The sequence below is a fragment of the Homo sapiens genome, chromosome 1, assembly GCF_000001405.40.
Source record: "Homo sapiens chromosome 1, GRCh38.p14 Primary Assembly".
Classification (NCBI taxonomy): Eukaryota; Metazoa; Chordata; class Mammalia; order Primates; family Hominidae; genus Homo; species Homo sapiens.
In genome coordinates this window covers 200,740,671-200,767,708 of record NC_000001.11, presented here as the reverse complement: position 1 = coordinate 200,767,708, position 27,038 = coordinate 200,740,671, and the positions used below count along the sequence as shown (strand labels likewise).

At 39.4% G+C, this 27,038-nt stretch overlaps 1 protein-coding gene across 7 annotated transcripts in view, besides 2 other annotated features; it reads right to left on the bottom strand.

Annotated features, from left to right (window-relative positions):
- The window catches only part of CAMSAP2 (calmodulin regulated spectrin associated protein family member 2), a 121,812-nt gene that overhangs the window by 92,996 nt on the left and 1,778 nt on the right, over positions 1–27,038 (bottom strand). For 4 of the 7 annotated variants that reach the window (NM_001297707.3, NM_001389638.1, NM_203459.4 and 1 more), the window contains exon 2: positions 6,611–6,870. The exons of the other annotated variants lie outside the window; for them this stretch is intronic. In NM_001297707.3, the coding sequence (NP_001284636.1) occupies positions 6,611–6,870 (260 nt within the window). The remainder of the gene's footprint in view (positions 1–6,610; positions 6,871–27,038) is intronic. 7 annotated transcript variants of the gene reach the window in all.
- Positions 392–892: an enhancer, noted in NCBI's record as "H3K4me1 hESC enhancer chr1:200735945-200736445 (GRCh37/hg19 assembly coordinates)". NCBI's record gives its function as "activates a minimal SCP1, AML or CMV promoter by ChIP-STARR-seq in primed H9 embryonic stem cells {active_cell/tissue: H9 hESC(primed)}" and the evidence as "EXISTENCE:reporter gene assay evidence [ECO:0000049][PMID:30033119]".
- Positions 24,162–24,362: a silencer, noted in NCBI's record as "peak646 fragment used in MPRA reporter construct". NCBI's record gives its function as "represses an SCP1 promoter by STARR-seq MPRAs in K562 erythroleukemia cells {active_cell/tissue: K562}" and the evidence as "EXISTENCE:reporter gene assay evidence [ECO:0000049][PMID:32103011]".

Below are 27,038 nucleotides of genomic sequence, written 5' to 3'. Positions count from 1 at the left end.
TATAAATTTGCAAGCCACTCATATACAAGGGTGACCAGAAATTAATGTCTTCTCACCTACTATTACAATACTACATTTATATAATCCTGTTCTTAAACAGGGAAAGGATTTTTTTTAACAAGCCTCTACACAAGTAAATTACACTTGAGTTCCAACAGATGGTGACACAATGGAAATTCCTAAGCATAGTTGCCAAATAAGACCAATATGTTTAAAAAAAAAAAAAAAAAAGAGGGACAACACAAAGTTCCTGGGATCAGCTTCTCTGTTCTCAATACATTTTGTGTATCCAGCAAAAATAATGGTAACTAGAGAATTATTCAGCATATTCTTTTTTTTTTTTTTTTGAGATGGAGTCTCACTCTGTTGCCCAGGCTGGAGTGCAGTGGCGCAATCTCAGCTCACTGCAACCTCTGCCTCCCAGGTTCAAGCGATTCTCTCACCTCAGCCTCCCAAGTAGCTGGTATTACAGGCATGTGCCAAGTAGCTGATATTACAGGAGTGCGCCACCATGCCCAGCTAATTTTTTTTTGTATTTTTAGTAGAGATGGGGTTTCACCATGTTGGCCAGGCTGGTCTCGAACTCCTGACCTCAGGTGATCCACCTGCCTTGGCCTCCCAAAGTGCTGGAATTACAGGTGTGAGCCACCACGCCCTGCCTGCATATTCTTAAATACTGTATCAATTAACTCATGTCCACCTAGACTCTGTCACAACTCTACTTCATCCCCTGTCAGCAGTCATTCTACTTAACTGCTATAATTACTCCTAAGGTACATGGAATTAACATAACCTTTAATACAGGAACAGAGTGGGTAAATGGAACAGAGAGGGGAAATTACTTTGGAAAGAAACCTAGGCAAATTACCAAGATTTCAAACAAACCACCAGGCAGAGTTCCAGGTGGCACACCATTTCTATTTCCTTCCACCTTACTACTTCCCATCTACCTATTCCCTAGGCAAAGACGAAAATACAATTTAGTGGTTAAGAACATAGGATTTATCCTGTTATCATGTAAAAGAGAAGTAAAATAAGAAAAAAAACCGAAAAAGAATATAGGATTTATAGTTAAAGCAGAGATGTTCAGAATCCTGCCTTCACTACTTAACTATACTTGCTCTGTGACCTTATATTCTCAAAGCCTCAGTTTCTTCATCAATAGAAAAGGGATGATCCTTTCCTCTTGGAGTTGTTGTAAGAATTAAATTACGTAAGATAGAGTGTTAAAGTGTAAGCACACTGCATGGCACACAGTAAACTAAATGAAAAGAGCTACCTGATAGACCAGGTGTAATCCCAGCTCACACCTGTAATCCCAGCATAGCCCAGGAGTTTGAGATCAGCCTGGGCAACATAGGGAGACCCTGTCTCTACAAAAAAAATAATAAAAAAATATTAGCCAGGTGGGGTGGTGCACGTCTGCAGACCCAGCTACCCAGGAGGCTGAGGTGGGAGGGTCACCTGAGCCCTGCAGGTCGAGGCTACAGTGAGTTGTGATTGCGCCACTGCACTCCAGCCTGGGCAACAGAGTGAGATCCTGTCTCAGGAAAAAAAAAAAAAAAAGAGCTACTTGATAGTCTCATAAATAAACAATAGATAAAATCTGAGAATTAACAGACTGCAATAATTATTTAAACTAAGCTGACAGTATAGCGGTTCAGTTTGCAATGCTTCCAAGTGTTTTGTAATATAGTATGAAAATCTATTCCATGATTCTGTAACCCACAGAAAGTTAAAAATCCTTAACTCAGACTTACAGCCTCCTCATTATCTAACTTACAGACTCTTCATGATCTAGCTCTAAATTATTTTTTAGCCTCATCTGACATTTATCCCTCCATGCAGTCAATATTTTAATTTATAATACTTAACATACCTTCACAGTTCAATCTTGAGTCAAACAATTCCTTCAACCCAGTTACTACTCTCATCCCATCCCTTTTCCCAACTACTGAAATCCCATTTATCATTCTACCCTGTGATGCCTTCCCTGATCCTCCCTAATAGAGATGATCACATCCACCTCTAAGATCTCAGTATCTATTGCTTAAAGTTAGAACACTTATTTCATACTGTCTAGTTTTTTTTCCCAGTTTTCTTCCTCATTAGATTTTTAGTTCAAACATCATTCAAGCGGAGATGTCAGTGGTCAGCTGGATACATAGAACATAACATATGGCCGGGTGCGGTGGCTCACACCTGTAATCCCAGCACTTTGGGAGGCCGAGGTGAGTGGATCACAAGGTCAGGAGCTCGAGACCAGCCTGGCCAACATGGTGAAACCCCATCTCTACTAAAAATACAAAAATTAGCTGGGCATGGTGGCGCACCTGTAATTTACCCAGCTACTCGGGAGGCTGAGGCAGGAGAATTGCTTGAACTTGGGAGGTGGAGGTTGCAATGAGCTGAAATTGTGTCACTGCACTCCAGCTTGGGTGACAAGAGCAAAATTCAGTCTCGAAAAAATAAATAAATAAAGAAGTATGACTAAGGCAAGTTTGACTGATAAGCAGATTGTAGTATTAATTTTGGGGTGGAGATTGAGAGAAATGTTTTTGTTTTGAGAAGTTACGTTGAGTTTTTTTGTTTTTTTGTTTTTTTTGAGATGGAATCTCACTCTGTTGCCCAGACCAGAGTGCAATGGTGCAATCTTGGCTGACTGCAATCTCCTTCTCCCGGTTTCAAGTGATTCTCCTGCCTCAACCTCCCATGTAGCTGGGATTACAGGTGCCTGCCATCACGCCCAGCTAATTTCTGTATTTTTAGTAGAGATGGGGTTTCACTATGTTGGCCAGGCTGGTCTCAAACTCCTCACCTCAGGTGAACCACCCGCCTTGGCCTCCCAAAGTGCTGGGATTACAGGTATGTGCCACTGAGCCCAGCCACATCTTTTCTTTTTAAAGATTGATTACTAAAAGGAACTACAGAAAAGATATCTTAAAGGTTTGAATTGCCATTTACGGGATATTTGGAATTTAACCATTTAGAGAGGTCTTCAATATTTATTCTTATTTCCTATGTCTGCTTAAAGGCTAAATGCAGGATACTTATTTCTCTTTAACAATTTAACTATCAGAAATATTTAGTATGCATACAAGGCATGTTATTTCAGATAATGATAATTTCTATTTGAATTTAAATTTCTTCTCTACATTTTAAATTTTAAAACAGTAAAATCATATAAAAATGTTAATAGTGCAGAAATACATCAAATAAGATATGAAAGTTACCATTTATTTCTCCAATCCTATTTAATCCCATTTCACAGAAGAAACCAAAGTTAACAGTCTGGTGTAAATTCTTCTAAAGATTTCTGTCTTCATATATATTATTTCACAGGAAATTTTTATACTGAGACTTTGAAGAAAAAGAATTAGTACTAACATTATTTCTTGAAAAATTAGGATGATACTTTTGCTACCACCACACTTTTTTTCCCCCCAAAAGGCTGGCATACAGAAATAAAATATCCCAAATTAAAAATAATTTAGAAGTGGAAGTGGGGGGCAATATATTCAGTGCAATTAAACACACTATTTTTCATGATACTTCCCAAAAAGCAGGAAAAAAAAACTGTTAATTTACATTAACTCTTACTTTACTCTTTAAAAAAATAGTTTCTTTCTTTTTTTTTGAGACGGAGTCTTGCTCTTGTCACCTGGGCTGGAGTGCAGTGGCGCAATCTCGGCTCACTGCAACCTCCGCCTCCCAGGTTCAAGCGATTCTCCTGCCTCAGCCTCCCGACCTCGGGTTACAGGTGCCTGCCACCACACCTGGCTAATTTTTGTATTTTTAGTAGAGATGGGGTTTCGCCATGTTGGCTAGGCTGGTCTCAAACTCCTAGCCTCATGATCCACCCTCCTTGGCCTCCTAAAGTGCTGGGATTACAGGCGCGAGCCACCACGCCCAGCCAAAAACATAGTTTCTTAAGGAACAACTTTTTACTAGTAATCTGAGAAATTTTCTCACGCAGGTTTCAGGAAAATAGTTACATTAAATATCATCAATCAAAATGCCACAGCAACTGGAAAACTTTAAATCAAATTGTGATAAAAGTTGAAAGTAAACAATTAAAACACAGGTTGGTAAATGTGACACTGCAAAGGGTTAAGATGATGTAGGTCAAATATGAAGTTCTCAAGTTCTTTGGTTGGTTGGTTTTTAAGACAAAGTCTCACTCTGTCGCCCAGTCTGGCTGGAGTGCAGTAGCGGAATCTCGGCTAACTGCAACTTCCACCTCCTGGGTTCAAGAGATTCTCCTGCCTCAGCCTCCCGAGTAACTGGGACTACAGGCGCGCACTACCACATCTGGCTAATTTTTGTATTTTCAGTAGAGATGGGGTTTCGCCATGTTAGCCAGGCTAGTCTCAAACTCCTGACCTCAGGTGATCCGCCAGCCTTTGTCTCCCAAAGTGCTGGGATTACAGGCGTGAGCTACCACACCCAGCCTGAAGTTCTCAAGTTCTAACAATCCACAAATAGAAGTTAGAACCAGAGATAAAGATTCTATGTTGCCCATGCCGTGCACCTGTAATCTCAGCATATTGAGAGGCTGAGGTGGGAGGATCACTTGAAGTCTAGAGTTCAAGACCAGCCTGGCCAACATGGTGAAACCCAGCCTCTACTAAAAGTACAAAAATTAGCTGGGCATGGTGATGCACGCCTATAATCTCAGCTACTTGGGAGGCTGAGGCACAAGAATTGCTTGAAACCAGAAGGCTGAGGTTGCTGTGAGCCAAGATCGCACCACTGCACTCCAGCCTGGGCAACAGAGTGAGACTCCAACTAAGAAAAAAAAAAAGATTCTAAGTCATTTAAACTCCATTCCTTAAATATTATTAAAATACATTCAAAGCTATCAGCAGGATCAATAAAGTGTGAAAGAAACATGAGTAACACAATCAGCAGTCTACCAAACCCCTCATTTTAAAATTAATTGTCCAAGTATTTCACACATACAAACTACACTGGAAAAAAATGTAGAAAACATGTTAAATTTGTTTCATTCTTATTAGAGGATCTGAAATAGACACTCTAAGGATAAGTAGGTTATCTATGACATATATATCTGTATCTGAAAGAACAGCAACTAAACAAACACTGCTTCACAAAGTCATGGATGTGCTTTCTAACTATCCACTTAGCCTTCAAACAACGGAAGCAGAAGTAATCACAAGCTGGAGTGTCCAGCTAGGGGAATGATTCTGGGGGAGATGAATATGAGACACTGATAAGGACCTAAGTAGATTCTGCTTGTCCCTGGTATGGGCAAACTGTTCACATATGATATGTATGCAAAGCAGGTATGCCAAAGTCAGAGGGTAACTATAAGGTGATTTTGGAGCCATCAATGAAAGATGACAATCTCATACTGGATAATCAATATTCTAGTTATTGTTAATAACTATATTGTAAATCTATAAATTCCATTAACTAATCAATACATTATTTTCCATTACTTAGAAATATTAAAAGAGTTACTTTAAAGAAGGAAAAAAACCAGAAAACAAAACAGGTCATCACCTCATTTAGTAATAGATTTTATAAACTAATTTTTTTGTTCATTCTTCCTAAATTACATAACTTCATAAATTTTATAATATACTTTTCTACATATACACCTTACCTTCCTCCCAAGCAAAACTACTACTCTTTGATTTAATCGAGTATGGAAAAACCACTTTTCTTTCTAATACCATCCTTGATGATGTCCACATTTTGTGAAACTCAAGCTAAAGCAGTACAATGGACTGAACCAGCATACAATGAACTTAAACATTTAGATTTATGTTTCCTGAGACTGCCTATGAGAGAGTTCCTGCATGATGGCCCCAGGCCAGCTTAGAGGCCTTCTGTGTGTGTTGTCTACAAGAATGAGTTCAAAGCTATCAAATAAACGAAAATATCTGATATGCAGAAATTTACCAAGAAGTTATTCAAGTACATAAATGAGCTTTTTTTTTTTTTTTTGAGACAGAGTTTTGCTCTTGTTGCCCAGGCTGGAGTGCAGTGGCATGATCTCAGCTTACCGCAACCTCCACCTCCTGGGTTCAAGCGATTCTCCTGCCTCAGCCTCCCAAGTAACTGGGATTACAGGCATGCACCACCATGCCCGGCTAATTTTGCATTTTTAGTAGAGACAGGGTTTCTCCATGTTGGTAAGACTGGTCTTGAACTCCTGACCTCAGGTGATCTGCCCGCCTCGGCCTCCCAAAGTGCTGGGATTACAGGCGTGAGCCACCGCGCCCGGCCATAAATCAGCACTTATTAATCTCAACTCTTTCCTAATGATAAAGTCAAGGATGCATTTTCCATCTCTTCTAGCCAGTCTCTACAACGGAAAAAATAAAAGTTTTCAATTAAAATTACATTAAGGTAGTTGGAAATTATGTAGTTGTTTCTCCAAGGTATTAGATGGCACCAAACATTCCAAAATCGTTAAAATCTTCCTTCATTTGGAAACAAGGTTAAGAAAAAGATGAGTTGTAAACTCTAGGCAAAAATACAATCCAATTTCAAAACATTTCCCTCTGTTTTACAGTATATCATTCACACTCAAAAGTACACACTTCAAACTTAAAATAATCTTGGGTATATAAAGACTCACCATCTGTATGGGTTTCTTGTGGAGATCTCGTTCAGTTACCAATTTTTCCTGGTCAGTGACATAAAGACCTTTCTGTGCTAAAGCCTGGATTACAGCATCATGGCCCAAAAGGGGTTTTGCAGCATCACTCTTGAGAATGAGACTCCCAGCACGACAGTATAGTTCAGCCGATAGAAGCAAATTAACAACAGGTGGTTTGATGTGTTCCTGGTCATACTGATCTGTGTAAAATGGTTCTTGAAGTTCCTCTGGCACATTTTCTATAAAGATTAATGGAAAAAATTCTCTTACAAGATTTTTATAAAAGAAACATAGAATTTAATTAATAATTATTATTTATGTCATAGAATTTAAGATTCCCTCTAAAAATATAGCAATAACCCTTTAACTGAAAAGATGATTCATTAAACTTTGACATATACTCTGGAATGAGACAAAGATACAAATTTCCTTTACAGAAGATACTTTCTGAGTATATTCCAAAAAGGGACTACAAGACAAGGAGAAAAGCTTTCTGAGTCTAGTGGCTCTTGGGAAAGTATTCCCACATTCATAGTCAAATCTACAGAATGAACTATAAGATTCCTAAAAACTAATTTCAATGACGCTCCTCACAGGCAAGCTGTCAACATGGAAATGCACAATAGGTATTTCAGGAGACTGCTAGTCCTTGCCACCTGAGAATACAAAATCATCTGCCCAGTTTTACAGCTAATGAGCTGCAGAATAGAGACTGCCTAACTTATTCTATCTCTTTGCCTCAAGACCTCTGCCGTCTCTCCCTTCATGCTTAGCTTGCTGACACTACTGAAAAAGAATTATAGCAATTGTTTAGGAGAGAACTACTCTTAAAAATCCCTTACACTAGTAAACCACTGATATTGCCACATTACCACTGACCACTCCCCATCCTACCTGAAAAAGACTTCCTGGGCACCCAACTGACAAGTTCGACTAAAACATAAGTAGTAGTTTAGAAATGGGAGATGGGAAGAAAACCAAAATCTCCTCCGAAGTTTCTCTTTCCTGCTAGCCACTACCCTTTAAGAATGCCAAGTCCTACTCTTCCAATGTCCACTCCCACTCTCCCAATGTCTGCTCCCAAATCAACTTAAGCAAAGGCATTTGTATTTGACAGCAGCAAAATTACCAAAACAAACGAGAGAAACAAAATACTTCTCATTGTTTTACAAGTTTTCTTGCCTATTCTACCCTGTATCTCTTCCTCCTCCTCTCCATTTCTTACCTGGGCTCTATACCTCTCATCGAAGCAGGACAAGGATGAGGTATGTCCCCCAGAGGTAGGGCTTCTGAGTTAGAGGTTAACATGGAGCTGCAATTATAGAACCTGATAGCTCTGTCCTGAGACCTAGCCAGTCCCTCACCTGCCTTCTCTCTAGAAAGTGAGGTTCTGAAGCCAGCCATCCCATCACTGATCTTAGCTGTTTCCTGAATAGGCAGCTTTAATATAAGCTCAATAATGCCACAATACTAACCAAAACTGGTACTTCGAAAAATCTGCAGCTGGGCGCGGTGGCTCACGCCCGTAATCCCAGCACTTTGGGAGGTCGAAGTGGGCAGATCACCTGAGGTCAGGAGTTCCAGACCTGCCTGACCAATATGATGAAACCCCTCTCTACTAAAAACACAAAATTAGCTAGGCATGGTGACAGGTGCCTGTAATCCCAGCTACTTGGGAGGTTGAGACAGTAGAATTGCTTGAACCTAGGAGGCAGAGGTTGCAGAGAGTGAGATCGCGCCATTGCACTCCAGCTTGGGCAACAAGAGTGAAACTCTATCTCAAAAAAAAAAAAAAAATAGAATAGCAGGAATCGGCAGAATTTTAGTCAGAAAAAAAAGAGCCTTTCTAAACGTAAGGAGAGGGAGGAGAGAAAGAGTAGGGAAAAAAGATGTGAAGAGACACCAAATTGAACAATCTGGGTGGAGAGAAGAGTTCATGTGGGAAAGCAGTAAGAGGCAAAGCTGGAATGGGAGAGGTTCGTGATGAGGACTTGAAAGAAATATTCATCTTTTAAACACGAGGACTTTGTATATTAGCTAACAAGGAGGTGCTGACAGTTTTACAGGACAGTGTCACATTAAGACTGACGTTTTGGAACAATCTGGTATTTAATATTGATGGCCATAAAAATCAGAGATAGAAGATTACCATATAGATATAAGGAAATGAAGTTCAAAGGCAGTAGTGAAAACAGAAAGTATAGGACATAAGAGACTAACTGCTAAAGACAAACAAAAAGTACCCAGGAATAAAGCAAAGAAAGAGGGTCAAGATGGAAATCAATAATAAGCCTACGTTATGAGGGAAACAGTGATATCATTAATAGAAAAATGAAAATCAGAGGCAGCACCAATTCTAAAAGCAAGATCAAAAACTCAGTTTTAGACATATTGAGTTTGAAACAATAGCAAAAATATCCAAGTGGAAATATCCAATAAGCAGCTGGAGATATAGGACTCTGGAAAGAGGTCAAGAGTGGATGTATCAATTTGGGATTTTGGTGACATCTAAAAATATCATCCTCATTTAATAATTGAAAACACTTTCCTTTCTTCGTAGATGCACTACCCAGTAGTGAGCCAGCTTTAAATTTAATATAGCTGCCTCAGCGTGATGGTGAAGTTCAGTTTTAAATTGCAGAATATAGTGCTGGTATTCATTTACACTTTAGTATTGTAGGAAATAAACAGAAACTATTAGTAGAACAGCTGTAAAAGGAAAATTATTTGATTTTAAGATAACTTATCAAATGTATAAACAATGGATTTTTATTTCCTGTATCAGTAAAAAATGGCTAATATAAGTTATTTGGCATCTAAATATTAGCTGTGAAAAGTAAATGCTCATTATCAGGATTACAAATTTATCTATCATACCTATATATCCACCTAGCATTTACTTACTGCTTTTACATCCATTTTCATATATGACCTTTATAACATCTTGTCAGACACAGTCCTAAACATGCATTCTGTCATTTAATTCTGACAACCCTCTTACCTTATTTTACAGATAAAGAACTCAAGAAAGGACATCTTGCCCAGGGGCACATAGCTGATAAGCACAGAATTATAGCTCTACACCATCTTGCTAAACAGGCTCAAACATAATAATGATTTGCCAAGATCAAAAGGGTGGAAGGTGGAAGACAAGAGTCCAGGGGTTGCTTCCATTTCATTAAAGCATATCCACTAACCTAAGTTGTGAAAGTGTAAGTTTTAAAAAGACCCCAATGCAAGGAAAAGGGAAAGGATCCACAGCTAATCAAAGACTGTTTCAAGAATACAACAAAAATAGATTTTTCAGCCCTCAAGAGAATGTAAAACTTCATACTGAATATAAAATAGGTCATTTTAAAAACAAGTCTTCAAGAGCTAAATATACTTAAGAGAAGACTTCAAATGTGTCTATCATTTTACCAATGGTATAAAACTATTATTTTTTTTAAAGTTTGGAATTGTACCACATTAAAAAAAAATGAACTGAAACAGCATATTAGAAAATAAACAGCAAAATCAAAGATAAGGGGTTTCACTCTCTCCCTAACCTCCAGAACACAAAAAGTAAGAAATTAATACAGACAGAACAGCTGAATGAAATACCACTGCTAGAATTGCAAAGGATATGAGATGAGTTTTTCTTGTATACCATGACTTAAGCAGAACATAATTTAATCATGCTACTATAAGTCCTGACTAGACCTAAGTTTTGAAAGTAACATCCACCTGAAATGCTTGAGGTACAGGTAGAGGGAGCAGAGACAGTACTGCTCAAGGCAATTTTCTATAAAACTGGGTTAGCTACCAGTTGCATCCACATTCCAGCAAGTGACACAGATTTATTAAAAGCAATAAAGGGGCAGGAAGCAGGAGGGGAGTACATTTTAGAAATATCATCACACTAAATCATAGGAATGCCACCTTATTTTCCAAATCTAAAAAATAGTTTCTAAGGTAATAACTATTATAGAACTTCTAAGTTTCAAAGAACTCCAATTAAAAGTAAGCCACAGAATCTGAACTTGAAATTAACCAAAAGACATAAAGATGATCAATAACATTTAAAACTTCATAGTACCAGTAATTAAAGTTATCAAAATGGCAAACAAACAAAAAAAAAGTTTAAACCCACTGTTGACAAGGGTGTACCGATATGAATACCCTAATATATGACCAAAGGGCAAGGATCATGTCTTCCTCATTTACCATGATATGAATCTCTAGGGCCTAACTCAGCGCCTGGTACGTGGTAAGGAAAGATTTGATGAATAAATAAAAATGTTATTAAAAAAAATTCTAGTCACTAGCCTTTTCCTGAAAGTACTCCCAGGTTTCAAATTTCCCCCTCAAGTTTACTACCTGATTCTGTGCTAGTAATCATTATTTACTCCTTGTACACGCTTTGAGAAACTTTAGTTTTCTCTGGGCCACACTTAATTTCTGTGACAGCAATCCCTCTCAAAACCACATAGGTTTTCAGTTTACCTACATTCACTACCTGCATCCATTCCAAAATTTGGAAAAATTTGGGCTTTGAGAAAGTATAGGCTTTAGATTTTAAAAGAATCGGTTGAGTCCTAATTTCACCACTTACTTTTTTTTCTTTTTTTTTTCTTTTTTTCTTTGAGAAAGAGTCTCACTCTGTCGCCCAGGCTGGAGTGCAGTGACGTGATCTCGACTCACTGCAACCTCCACCTCCTGGGTTCGGGCAATTCTTGTGCCTCAGCCTTCCGAGTAGCTGGGACTACAGGTATGTGCCACCACACCCAGCTAATTTTTGTATTTTTCGTAGAGATGGGGTTTCACTATGTTGGCCAGACTGATCTTGGACTCCTGACCTCAGATGATCTGCCCGCCTTGGCCTCCCAAAGTGCTGGGATTACAGGCACCAGCCACCATGCCCGGCCCAGCCATTTACTTGATGGGATCTTGAGTTCAGTAATTAACTTCTCTGAGTTTTAGTTTCTCCATATTCCACAAATGTACTGCCTACTCCTACTCTGACCTCAACTTCCTCCACTTTCCCCAGGCCGCTATGTTCCAAACACCCAACTCTTCCTGTTGCTAGAATATGCCAGGTTCAGACCTTTTGGCCCATGCACTAGAGGCCTTCTGCCTCTAATGTTCCTCCCCTTAACCGAATGAATGGTTGGCTCTTTCCATTCAGATCTCAGTTAAATGTAACCTCCTCAAACACACTTTCCCTGACCACCCAGTCACTCATTGTAGTTTAATTCTCTAGATAACAACTATTACTATCCCATAATATTTTATTTCTACCTCCTCTCACTATAAGGTACCTGAAGGAGAGCAAGATACTTATCTGTCCTGTGTCACTAGTACCTGGAACTGCGTCTGAAACACAGTACGCACTCAAATATTTACCAAGACTGTACGGTACCTACACATAGAGCCTTGCCTTCCAAGAAGGTACCAATTAAAAGTTAGCTCCCTCCTGCCCTCTACATTATTACCTAACATGGTAAGTGTGGTACAGCATTCCTGAGCTTAAATTATCACCTCTACTCCTCCCATTACCCTATAAGGCCAAAGCACCTCTTCTGAGCTCCAGATCCTTATAAGCCATCAGCCTACTCAGCTCTTCACTTGGGTGTCACAAAGAAACCTAACTCAAAATGGGAGCCAGGTTTCTCAGTGACCAGGGGAGTTACAAATATGGAAAAAGGAAAAACTAGAATAAACTCTGTGGTGCTGGTTGAAATGGGAAGTGTCATTATAAATACATGATGCTTCAGATATATATCTCTTTATTTATATGGATAGCAAAAGAAATAGATTTAGCTATACACTATGTATATATGTGTGTGTTTACTATCTGTCTGCTAAATAACACTGTTAGCAATAAGCCTAGCACCTGTATCTTGGTTTCTAATACCTTCCCCACCAAAAGCAACACTGCTCCTTGAAGAAATGTTTCCAGGTCTGGAGCAGGGAAAGTATAAGATATGCTTAGAACATCTTTGTTGTGGTATGTGCCAGAAAGTAAGGAAATGCTAACAAATAATGGAGCCATGTCAAAAGAACACAGGATCCAGATGGAAGGGGATGCCATTGGCTAAAACTGGGAAAACACCAACATCAGAATACATAATAAAGAATTATAACCCACTGAATAAAACACGCATCAATGAGTCTATCCTGACACAAATAAATAATACATTAAAAAAGCTCTTTCGGCCAGGCGCGGTGGCTCACGCCTGTAATCCCAGCACTTTGGGAGGCCGAGGCAGGCAGATCACAAGGTCAGGAGATAGAGACCGTCCTGACTAACACGGTGAAACCCCGTCTCTACTAAACATACAAAAAATTAGCCGGGCCTGGTGGCGGGTGCCTGTAGTCCCAGCTACTCAGGAGGCTGAGGCAGGAGAATGGCATGAACCCGGGAGGCAGAGCTTGCACTGAGCCGAGGTCGGGCCACTGCACTCCAGCCTGGGCGACAGAGCCAGACTTCGTCTCAAAAAAAAAAAAAAAAAAAAAAAAAAGGAGCTCTTTCTTGTGGTAGAATAATACCAACAAACAAATGGAAAAAAAGGATAGTAATCAACAGCAATAATCGGTTCAGGCAAGATCATTACTGGATTCTAAAATGGTGGGTAACAGTTTAATGAACAGGATATTTTGAATTACCTCCCTATAAATTACTAATTAATTTAAAGTGGAAAAATAATTTTATAATGGAGAAAACTACAGATACCACTTTGACCAGGTGATCAAAGTTAACATCACCTATACTGGAACAAACATTATGTGTCCCCTGATATGATTTACTGAGACTACAACATCTCTTCTGCAGTAGTCTACCAGGCTTCTATAACTTGAACCTTATCAAACTTGAATAAAGAAACCTTAAACAAATCCAAATTTAGAGACATTCTATAAAATAACAGGCATATTGTTCTTATAAGATTAAACAGTACATTTTAATAAAGGAAAAAAATCAACATAATGCTCAGACATTTTGCAGGTACTGGGAAGGAAGACTTCCCACGCCTCCCCTGCCTTCCTGGCATCACTGTGTATGAAGGAGTATGTCAAGCTGTTCTGATCTTGGAAGAAATGGGGGTAAGGAGACTTTCATCTGTCTGAATATCTTTGCTCTGGGGCTGCCTGGCTGCCACGTGATTTGTCTCTGGGTACCTCTCAGGCACCCTTGCCCAAGTCTTCTGTGGAATGCAGGGATGGTACTGTGCAGAGAGGCAACACGGCACATCTGCTGACAGAGAGACAACTGGTGGTCGTGGTAGTGGCAGTGACAAGCAAGAGGAGTACAGAGTGGGTCTGCCAGAGGGGAGCAGGGAAGAGTGAATGGAAGAGAGGGAAGAAGGGAAGTACGAAAGAGGGAAGAAAGCCAAAAGATAGGGTGCACCAGAGGGCAGAAGTAGTAGGGGTTTAGGAGATGGTCTCCAGTTCCTGGGTCTCCATCAGCTCTTGTTTGAGGGCAGGACTCTGTGTAATTTGTTTTTTTCCTACTGTCTAGGTATTCCTATCAATACCAGCACCCATGTAAGGATCTCATCATTGTCCCAGTCATTTGAACCAAGGGTGGAGGGGGACATCTGCTAAACCAGGGCCCAGCACTCCAGAGTAAAGAGGAACACAAAGAAGGAGGCACCCAGTCAGCTCCTGCAGAGAACTGGCTGCTTGTACCAGACACACAGGCAAAAGTTTGGCAAGAGCTAAGACAATGCCTAAGGAAGGGGCTTGATATCCAGCCAGCACACAGCTAAGGGTGCTCTATCTTTTTTTTTTTTTTTTTTTGAGATGGAGTTTTGCCTCTGTTGCCCAGGCTGGAGTGCAGTGGCACAATCCCAGCTCACTAAAACCTCTGCCTCCCAGGTTCAAGCAATTCTCCTGCCTCGGCCTACCGAGTAGCTGGAACCACAAGCACGGACCAAGTAACTGGAACTACAGGCACACACCACTTAGTAGAGATGGGTTTTCACCTTGTTTGCCAGGGTGGTCTCAAACTCCTGACCTCAAGTGATCCGCCCACCTCAATCTTCCAAAGTGCTGGGATTACAGGGGTGAGCCACCACACCCAGGCTGGTGCTCTATCTTCAGAAGTGTTAATATCATTAAAGACAAAGGCAGACTGAAGAACTATTCCAGGTTAAAGGAGACTTAAGAGACATGACAACTAGGCCAGGCACGGTGGCTCACGCCTGTAATCCCAGCACTTTGAGAGGCCGAGGCGGGTGGATCACAAGGTCAGGAGATCGAGACCATCCTGGCTAACACGGCAAAACCCCGTCTCTACTATAAAATACAAAAAATTAGCCGTGCGTGGTGGCGGGCACCTGTAGTCCCAGCTACTTGGGAGGCTGAGGCAGGAGAATGTGTGAACCTGGGAGGTGGAGCTTGCAGTGAGCTGAGATGGCGCCACTGCACTCCAGCCTGGGCGACAGAGCGAGACTCCATCTCAGCAAAAAAAAAAAAAGGAGACATGACAACTAAATGCAAAGCATGATCCTGAATTGGGAAATAAAATAGCAATAATGAAAATCAACATAATTGGCAAATCTGAATACGGGCTGTGAATCAGATAAGAGTATCACGTCAAGGTTAAATTTCCCAATTTTTTTTCTTATGAATTATGAATTTTACTAAGTGATTACACAAAGACATATAAGAGTGTTAATTGTAGTGCTGCTTATTGTAGCAAAATATTAGAAACCATCTATATATATTAAAATAAGAACCAGGTTAATAATTTACAGTATAGATACATTAAGCAATATTATATGCTCAGTAAAGTTACATATCACAGAAGGAATCTATATTTACCTGAAGAAACTGTGCTCAAAATGTTAAAAATCAGATTAAAAATAATATAATTCTTTTGTAAATAATAATTATGTGTACACATGTAGAGAAAGAACTCTATGGTCATTTTTAATGCTTTTTTTCCCCCAACGGTCATGCATTAATGTTTAATTTAAAGTGAAAGATAAAATTAAAAAAATACATTTGGATTTGTAGCCCAGACCTCCCCTTTGAGCCACAGATTATGTTTGTGATATCTTCCCTTGTATGCTTTACAGGCATTTCCAAGTTAATGTGGCCCATGTTGCACACAATAAGTCTGCCCCAATCCAGTGCTTCCACGTCAGTAAACCACAACTCTGCTATTTCCAAATGAGTCAACTGAGGCTCAGTTTTGCACCTGTTACACCCACAGCCCAACCCTATTCTCCATCTAATTTATAACCAAGCTCTATTTCCAACACAGATTCCCACACAGACTGTGAACACCTCTGTGTCTCTCCATCTTAATTACCTCATTCCAGGTCCCATACCTCTTGCGTGACTTCCAGCAACACTTCTGTGCTCTCACCATCTTTTCATCCTTACTATTAGCCAGGGAAAGCTTTTGACACACCAGTGACCTTCCATTGCTCCTAGGGTTTGTTAAATATTCTGTTATGATTTAGAGAGAACTGACTAATCTGGTAGTCTGGTCCCTGCCTTTACCATAGCCTCATATTGTAGCTTGTAGCTTTTTTTTTTTTTTTTTTTTTTTTGAGATGGAGTCTCACTCTTGTCACCCAGGCTGGAGTGCAATGGTGCGATCATGGCTCACTGCAACCTCCGCCTCCTGATTCAAGTGCTTCTCCTGTCTCAGCCTCCCAAGTAGCCAGGATCACAGGTGCCCACCACCACACCCAGCTAAAATTTCCCAATTTTTAAATGAGATTATGTTCAGGAACTATCCTTCATTTTATAGGAGATATACACTGAAGGAGTGTAGGGTACAATATCTCTTTACATATTCTCAAATGGTCCAGAAATATTATATATATTTATTTATATCCTATATATATGCAAGCACACACACACACACGTTATATATACATTGCTGGGTATGGCGGCTCATGCCTATAATCCCAGCACTTCGGGAGGCTGAGGCAGGCAGATCACTTGAGGTCAGGAGTTCAAGATCAGCCTGGCCAACATGGTGAAACCCTATCTCTACTAAAAATACAAAAATTAGCTGGGCGTGGTGGCACGTGCCTGTAATCCCAGCTACTTGGGTGGCTGAGGCATGAGAATCCCTTGAACCCGGGAGTTGGAGATTGCAGTGAGCCGAGATCGTGCCACTGCATTCCAGCCTGGTGACAAAGCAAAACTCCTGTCTCAAAAAAAAAAAAAAAAAAAGGCAGGCGCGGTGGCTCATGCCTATAATCCCAGCATTTTGGAAGGCCGAGGCAGATGGATCACCTGACCAACATCATGAAACCCGGTCTCTACCAAAAATACAAAAAAAATTAGCTGGGTGTGGTGGCAGTCACCTGTAATCCCAGCTACTCGCGAGACTGAGGCAGGAGAATCACTTGAACCCGGGAGGCAGAGGTTGCAGTGAGCTGAGATTGCGCCATTGCACTCCAACCTGGGCAACAAGAGCGAAACTCTGTCTCAAAAAAAAAAAAAAGATGTATCTATCTATCTATCTCTTTCTCTCTACACACACACACACACACACACATACAGGCATTTGTGTGGGAGGTAGGAAGAAGGAATGAGACAGAATAATAAAACAAATGGGACAAAATAATTGGTAAATCTGGGTAAAGAGTATTTGGGAATTCTTTATACTATTCTTACACATTTGAAATTATGTTGAAAAAGCTACAAAACTTCAAAATGCCCCAAACCAATCTTTTCTCCCAAACTTGATGATCTTTCAGTGTTCCTTATATCAATAAAGTACACCACAATCCATCGAGCCGAACAAGTCAGAAACCTAGGAGTCATCGTTAATGCCTCCCTCTCCTTCAACCATAAATAAAATCCATTACAGAATCCAGGCTAAAGTCTTCCCCCTTCTCACAATCTCAGACTCCAGGTTCTGGTTCTCCCTAGTTCAGGCAACCAGCACTTTTTATCTTAATTACTATATTTACTCCAAATTTTGTCTTCCCACATTCACTCTGCTCCCCGCTCCAAACCATTCTCTACTGTAGCCAGAATTTGCTTATTTCCCATAAGCAAATTTGGTCATGTCACACACACCACCCCATCCCCAAGGGTTTCCAATGACTTCCCACTTCTCTAAGGATTAAAATCCTTCCTCTGGCCTACAAGAATGGAATGATCCTATCCCTGCCAGTCACATTCAGTTCCTGGAAACCATGCTCTCTTCCACTCCGGAGCCTTTTCACATTCTCTGGAATGTTCTCCCTATTCTTTACCTCCTTTCAGATTCTCAGGGGCCAGTGATCCATTCAGTCTGGTCCAATTTCCCCCCCATAAAGAGAAAGAATATAGCATTTATCCTGCTTTCCCTGTATCTCAATGTAATAAAATTTTACTTTTGAGACTATTCAATTCTATTATAAATAAAGATGAAAAAGTTTGTAAAATGTAGATGAAATGTTCAAAGATATTTTAAGTATAGATAAGGAGCTAGTTTTAAAAGTTTGTTAAACATATAATTGATAGAACATGTTAAATAAAGGTAAGCAGTTAATAGCACACATATATTAAACATAGAAAGGGATGGAAAAAACAAGATACCTAATATTTATGAGGCACCTATGTATTAAATATTCATGATACACTAAATATACTAAGTACTAAATATTCATGACAGAGTAAATATGCATGACACTAAACAAGAGTCAATGAACACATGAGCATGATATTCATGAGTCCTTAATTCAGCTACCCATTGATGATGCCCAGTCTGGCCCATGTGTCCTCTGCCCAAGGAACACAATGCCCATGGCTATCATCAGGCTTGTGGCAAGCTACAGCTGTGGCAGGCTTCCTTGTCCCATGTCTAATAGAGCAAGTGTGTGGCACTGGCCTATGTCTGTGTGGGCCTCTTTGTTCAAACCTCAGCTCTGGTCCTGGTGACCACACTATCAGCAGAGAAGGCTAATGCAGTAGAGACAGGACACATGAAATGTATATACTGCAGCATTCAGGGAGTGTGGTCCTTCCTCCCTGTTTGCATCCTATCCTAAGTGTTTTAACTCATCCTATCTCTTTCCTCTTGCTTCTCACTAAAAACTGATTTAACAAATCACATAATTTGGGCATTTTAAGTTGTTCTGTGAGCTTTCTGTTCTGTGACCTCTAGGCTAGTTTTTGTATGGCACGCACTTAGAGGCTACCATTGGATCAAGGTAATTTCCCACACAGCACTCAGGGTAACCAAATAATAAAGGGAAATTTATTTTTAAAACAGCATTTCAGCTAATAAATAGAGAAGTCATGATAGAGAGACAACTAGATATTAAGTATCTTGTGGTAGAACTATACACCACGTATAAAGTATACCAAAAAAAAAAAAAAATCAAACCTGAATGCAATCAATCCTCTAGATCTAACTATCAATTTATAACGAATACAGAGGACAAAGAGAAACTTGTTAATATCATGGAGCTCCAAACTGTAGGAGACTTTATAGGACAAATACTCTGGTTTCTCCAACAAATAAACTGCAAGGAAGATTAAAATGAGATGGAGAAGGAGCCTATACATTAAGAAAAAAAATCTTCTGGTCATATATACCTGAAAAAGAAAAAAAAACACAACAATATAAAGAGATATCAACGAATTACAAAGTATGGCCTTTAGATGGATCCTAACTAGAACAAATAAAACTGTAAAATAAAAATAAAAAACATTTATGAGACAATCAGAAATGTTCATATTGATTTGATGATATGGAATTCTGTGACAACAGTGCTGTGATGGCTGTGCCACAATTACATTTTAAAAAGGGAGTGGACTTACAGAAATACATACTGATACACGTATAGATGGGATGACATGATGTTTGGAATTTGTTTCAAATAATTGGCAGTGGTGGGGAGTGTTTAGAGATGAATCAAGATTGGCCATAAGTTGATGACAGCAGGGGCTGGATGATGGGTACATGAAAGATTATTGTTATTGTATATATTTGAGATTTTCTATAATCAATCCTTCCGTTTGAAGAGCAAGAAAAAAGCAAGAGAAGAGTGTAGAACTTTCAGTGATTAGAGAAGAGCTCTGAATGGTGTGGTACATAGATGTGAGACCTAGAACTGCTACAGCCATTTTCTTTTTTTTTTTTTTTTTTTGAGACGGAGTCTCGCTCTGTCGCCCAGGCTGGAGTGCAGTGGCAGGATCTCGGCTCACTGCAAGCTCCGCCTCCCGGGTTCACGCCATTCTCCTGCCTCAGCCTCCCAAGTAGCTGGGACTACAGGCGCCCGCCACTACGCCCGGCTAATTTTTTGTATTTTTAGTACCGGGATGGTCTCGATCTCCTGACCTCGTGATCCGCCTGCCTCGGCCTCCCAGAGTGCTGGGATTACAGGCGTGAGCCACCGCGCCCGGCCGCTACAGCCATTTTCTACCATGAGACTAGACAGCCTGAGAATGAAATCCACACATCAACAAGGGCACAGCTAAAAGAATCACAGAGAAATGACGCTACAGCCCTGATCAAATCAAAACCAAAGCCCATCCCACTTGAGGACTTTTTCAGAAACAATAAATCCTCTTTACTATTAGCCAATTTGAGGTGGACTTTTTGTTACTACAAGTGAGGACGGCATAATTGATACAATCTCCCATTTACTTTCAACCTAGTCATGCTTCTGTCTCTACATTCCCCTCAAAATGTTCTCAGCAAAATCATCAATAACTTCCTTGTAGCTAAATCTAATGGATCTTTTTGAGAGTCCTCGATTAATCTTTCTCAGCTACACCTCATATTCCTTCATCCTCAATGTTCTCTTCCCTAGTCTTCTGAGCCTCCACATTCCCTTGGTTTTCTTTCTAATTACCCTATGCCTAGCTCCTTTGCTGGCTCGCCTGTCTTGGGTCCTTTCTTTCTCCATACGCTCCCTCAAAGTGACTGGCAGTCAGCTGGGTGGGGTGGCTCACGCAGGTAATCCCAACACTTTGGGAAGCCGAGGCAGGAAAAGTGCTTGAATACAGGAGTTCAAGACCAGCTTGGGCAACACAGTGAGACCCTATCTCTACAAAACATTTTCAAAAAAATTAGCCAGGCATGTAGTCCCAGCTACTCAAAAGGCTGAGGCAGGAGGATCACCTGAGCCCAGAAATTTGAAGCTGCAATGAGCTTTGATCACATGACTGCACTCAGCCTGGGTGACAGTGAGACCTTAAAAAAAATGTGACTAGGCCGGGCGCAGTTGACTCACGCCTGTAATCCCAGCATTTTGGGAGGCCGAGGGGGGCAGATCACGAGGTCGGGAGATCAAGACCATCCTGGCTAACACGGTGAAACCCCGTCTCTACTAAAAATACAAAAAATTAGCTGGGCGTGGTGGTGGGCTCCTGTAGTCCCAGCTACTCGGGAGGCTGAGGCAGGAGAATGGCGAGAACCCGGGAGGCGGAGCTTGCAGTGAGCCGAGATCACGCCACTGCACTCCAGCCTGGGCGACAGGGCAAGACTCCGTCTCAAAAAAAAAAAAAAAATGTGACTAGTGACTGGTAGTCACCTACTTTTTAAATTTTAATTACCACTTATAGCTCTCATCCCTGAAGTCTTCTAAGCTCCATACATGAATTTCCACAGGCCTAATGCACACACCACCATTTTATATTCCTCAAACTCAACATGGTTCTTTCCCCCCAACCCGCTCTTAAACACATACACTGGCCCTCTTCCATTGTTCCCTTTCTCACAAAATAGAATCAATCTTAACACTTCCCAAGATCTCATCTTTTCTTCCACATATCCAATCAATCACCAAGCCTTATCCTTTACATTCATCCACTTCTTTCCATACCCACCACTACCATCCACATTCAAGATGCCATCATCTCTCACCTGAAACATAATAACTTCCCTGTGGTTTCCTCCTTCATAACTCTTGGCCCTCCTCCAATTCATTTTCTACTGTTTCCAAGACATCTTTTTAAAAATTGTGGTAAAATATACATTACATAAACTTTACTATTTTAACCATTTTTAAGTGTATTCCAAGAGATTTTCTAAAAACAAATCTTCTGATGATTTCATCTCGCTTAAAACAGAAACTGACTAGCTCAGGGTCCACGTGGGAAGAAGACTTCTCACAAGATCTACTCTTTTATACCTTTGAGTTTTGAATCTGTACCTGTATACCTATTTTTAAAAACTTTTTAACTGTCAATAAATTTTCAAGAACCTATATAAATAAAGACCTCTAGCATCTATTTTTTAAAGGGTAGATAATAGAAAATATTTCTGCTGTTTCAAAATCTGTTACGAGACAAAATTCTATAAAACGTAAATTAGAAAATAAGTTCACATGGTCAACAATCTATTTTAACATCATCATCAACCAGGCACAAAGGCTCATGCCTGTAATCCCAGCACTTTGGGAGGCCGAGGCAGGCGGATCACTTGACCCCAAAGTTTGAGACCAGCCAGGCCAACATGGCAAAACCCCAATCTCTACTAAAAATCCAGGAAGACTGTAACTCAGAGGTTAAGATACAAATTTCAGTATCACAAAGGCTTAGACTCTAATTTTGTTTCCACCTCTTACAAGTTGTATGATCAAGGGCAAGTTAGTTAACTCCTCTAAATCTGTCTCATTGTTTATTTTAAAAAGGGTGAACTATCATATAATATTTCCTAAATTCTTATTTTCAAATTGAATATTTGTGAAATCAGTATGTCTTATAATTAATTTGTACTTCAACATACAAAAAAAAAAACCTTTTTAGATCACAATAGTGTGTCTTATAATATTTATAGCAGTGATTCTCAACCTGGGCTCCTTTTGTTCCCCAGGAGACATCTGGAGATGTCTGGGGACATTTTGGGTTGTCACAACTGGGGTAGGAGTAGGGGTAGTGGTAGGGAACACTACTGGCATCAGGTGGGTAGAGGCCACAGATGCCGCTAAAATCCTAGAATGCACAGGACAGCCCCCAACAACAAAGAATTATCTGGCCAATAGTTCTGCAGTTGAGAAACCCTGTTTTAGAGTCTTAGAATAAAATAATATCTACTTAATAGGCTCATTCTCAGAATTAAAATAAATAATGCATATAAAACGCTTACAAGAATAATGAGCACAAATTACATGTTTAATATACTTAATAGTATTTTTTCTTTTTTTTTTAATCCAATGTGCTTAGGATAATTTAACTACTAAATAAATACCAAATTCCTTCACCTCACCCTTCACATAATTCTGTCCGTTTGTCTTTCAAGCTGGCTCTCTCACTGCTTCATTACATAAACCTCATCCCATCAATCTGGTCTATGTTGTTTCATTAGCACTACCTGGGTTTCACAACTCCATGTCTACACACAAACCATTTCCTCCATCTACCATGCCTACTTTCAATTCAGCCTATAGCTTAAATACCACCTCCACTAGAGAGGTCTTCCTTCACAGACCACTGATGAGGCTGGAAATGGCCTCTCCCCTGCCACCCCACCGCATCCTAACGCCACCAGTCTCCCTCTGAATGTCATATTTCCAATTATATGACTCTTAGCTTATTTCTGAACTCTACTGTGGTTATACATTTATCATACCTCCCCTAGCAAAGCATAAACTCTTAAAAGAAAGGCATAGCTTAAACACATAGGATTTGACACTGTTGAATCAGACCATTCTCCTTGAAATTTTCTCCTTCCAGGGCTTCAGTGTTACTATACTTTCTTCTCTGTCAATGGCATCTCAATTCAGCCTGTCAGTCACCAAATCTCAAAATCTCAGGTAACCTCATCCTTCTTAAAACCTCAGGCGACCTCACCCTCTTACACATTCCCTTTTCATTCAAACCATTTCCCATGTACCCACTTAGAAATACTAGAGATTAAATCTCTGCAACATTTTTTCTATCATTTGCCTCCTTTCCATTTTTTGACTTCTACCCATAGAGAACAGTAGTTACAAGTACAGGCTGAAGTCAAATTCCCTGGGTTCAGATCCCAGCTCCATTAGTTGGGTAACTCTGGAAGAGTTCCTAAGTCCCCGGACACTTTCCTCATCAGTAAAATTGGAATAAGTAACCTTTCCACCTCAAAAGGCTGTCATGAGGATTTAAATGATACAGTATGTGTAAAGTGCTTGACACACAGTGTAGGAGCTCAATAAGTATTAGCAGCTTTATTTATTTATTTATTTATTTATTTATTTATTTATTTATTGAGACAGAGTCTTGCTCTGTTGCCCAGGCTGGAATGCAATGGCACCATCTCGGCTCACTGCAACCTCCACTTCCTGGGTTCAAGCGATTATCCTGCCTCAGCCTCCTGAGTAGTTGGGATTACAGGCACTCGCCACCATGCCCAGCTAATTTTTCTATTTTTAGTAGAGACGGGGTTTCACCATGTTGGTCACGCTGGTCTTGAACTTCTGACCTCAGGTGATCCACCCGCCTTGGTCTCCCAAAGTGCTGGGATTACAGGCATGAGCCACCATGCCCAGCCTATATTAGCAGCTTTATTATCATACCCGCCCCCTACCACTTCAAGACCTCATGAACTTCTTTTTTTTTTTTCTTATTGGTAAATTTTCTGTTGACTACAAAGTCAAAGACACAGGACCTTATCTTTTGCCCAGACTCTTGCAATAATGTCCCAAACTGGCCCCTCTGCTACGGGTCTCTCTTAACCACAATGCTACCCACTGCTCTCAACTATCTTCATATATGCACAAGAGTCAGACCTTATACAGGACTTTGACAGCAAGATTTGTTAAGACAGACAAAGAAATGTAACAAGGTATATTTATGATAGGAAATATTTTATATCACTAAACTAAATGGGATAAAAAGGAGAATAATAGTTGAGAAGATTGAAGTGATAAACTGACACTAGGAAGTGGGCCTTGAATTCCAAATTCAAGAGTTTAGTAAGAGTGTCACAAGAGGTTTTGCATCTACCATTTCCCCCAAAGGATTTAAGAGAACAGAACATTTAAAGAAAATTCTGTAAAATCTTTGCTTAAATGGGTTAAGCTCTTCAAATATAGAAAAGGCACAGATAGTTGAACTACTTCCTCCTTTGGAATTTGGATTATCGATTTAGTGTTTCAAATTCATCTATAAAAATGTATTCTTCATTTAATCAAACCTGTATCTGCATCTTCCACAAAATAAACTATTAAAATTTGGGCTATTTGTAATACTTTTGTAATACTACTGTAAAGAGAAGAAAATGATTCAAGGCTCCTAAGACTTCAAATTAAGTAAATATTCCATATTTGCTTTCTAGGTATTACAACATCAGTGTTTTTTTTTTAAGTTCAATTACTTCATTCTATGCTCACATTTCTAGCTATCATTTTAAATGACTTTTACAACATATGGTTATAAAATTGACTACTTTTTCAGTACATCAAAAGTTAGAAAGTTTCTAATAGAAAACACCAAATCAGTGCCTGAAGACCCTGTAAGTCATTGTTAAAGGAGTGATTTTAGTAAATCATATTGAAAGCTGGGCTGATTTTTTGAACAACTAAATATAATTAGGTAATACCTTTGAAATATGCTATCTATTAACCTTTCCTGCATAAGTGTATCTGCAGCAAATAAAGAATATTTACATCAAAAAAATTCCTAATTTTTTTCTATTCACTCCATATAAATTTGTTTTGAAAGACTGTTGATAAAGAATAAACAAAATGTACAAACATAACATTCTTAATAATGTATTAATATATTGTTACTAAGTCACTCAAGGTCTTCTAAACTTGTTTTTCATCCCATTTGAATATGGTCTTTTCATCCATTCCAACTGCTGCCAAGGCAAATGTAATAGCCAACAATATCATCTATCTGAAAATGAATTAAGATTTGTACAATTTTTAAAGAAAAAATTAGACTTCAATATGTACTATGTGCACATTTTTCACACCTGCAGATAAAACGGTTACTCTGCAGAACGGTATAGAGTAATAAGCAAAGGCTTCAGAGTCAGACATGCAGAACACATCACTTGCCAGATGTTTAATCTTGTGCAAATTAATCTGTGAGCCAGTTACCTTATCTGCAAAATGAGAACAGTATCTACAGGGTTGCTGCAGGAATAAATGAAGTAATGTATTCAGAGTGCTGGGTATCTAACAGCAGTGTTCCACCTCCACCAATACCTTTACCCTTTTGAGTCAGACCTCAAATCAAAACTCACTTCTGCCACTTACTAACACTGTGATAGTAGGAAAGTTAACCTCTCTATGCACTGATTTCCTCCTATTTTTTAAATGGGGAACACACTACCTACATCAGAGACTTGTTATCAATCTCTAACGTACAACTTACTGCAAAGCATCCAGCAGAGTGCCTGGCAGACATCAGATTCCACTGATACTAGATTCCCTTCATTTCCTTTCTTCTTCAGGTGTGTTCAATATGTTCAAGTGGTCTAGAATCTACGAACCTGCCTGACACATACCCAGAAAGTAGGCCATTTTCTAGCTGGAAGCTTTTGTGTATGCATGGCAAAATTTTGATATCTGTATCCTATAAGTATCCTCTCAGTTCCAGATGGAAAGAAAATATTTCTCTTATTCCCTTTGCCTTCCACTTTATACATACTACTTTTCCACATAGGTGACTATGTAAATTTCCCTCTTTCCATGTTTTCTAAGCACTTAAATAGCCTTGATTTGCCATCCAAATAGATACCGGCTTCAGTGTGCTGCTTAAGTTAAAACCAAAATACATCTATTATTCTCACTGCTTATATCAGTGGTGCCAGAATGTTTTTATATAAAGGCAGTAACACTTTGTGTTTCTTCCTATGAGTTACGCTAGACATTCAATTTCAAAGAGATGTTTAAAATTTAAATAATTTGAAAAGGATTTACTATATTTATTCCTGATGCCAGCTTAATATCAAAGCATAAAAATTCAAGTAAAATTAAGGCTGCCATAAACATAAAATCACATCAATGTCAAGTTTCCCCAAAAACAAATTCAAATCATTTTCCAAACACTGAGATTAATCTGCTATTTAAGTAGGATGTGTAAGTCCTGAAAATACTCAGCTGTGTAAGTTTAAGCAGTAAAACTGAACTAAACCATTTACCAAAACATTACATAGTCCTAAAATTGGAAATTAGTCACCCTCCCCCTGAAAAACCCTATATTTAACATGTGGAAATTTGTGAGTACTAGGGAACTTTTCAACAAATATTTCATATATCTAAACTTCATTAACTAGGGAACAGAAATCTTGTAAAATTACTCTTAAAAGTTACCAAATTACAGAAGCATCTTCCAATGAAAAGCAGCTCTCTAATTTTTTTAACATTTCACAACATGGGCTCCTAAAGCAACACTAAAGAATCATAACGGGAGGCCCTTTTCCTGTTATTTTGCAAAGACTGGGTTATGGAGGGAGTGTTTAACTGCTACTGTACTATACAATTTCTGTGTCAACAGCACACGCCTTCGAAAAACTCATCTATTAAAA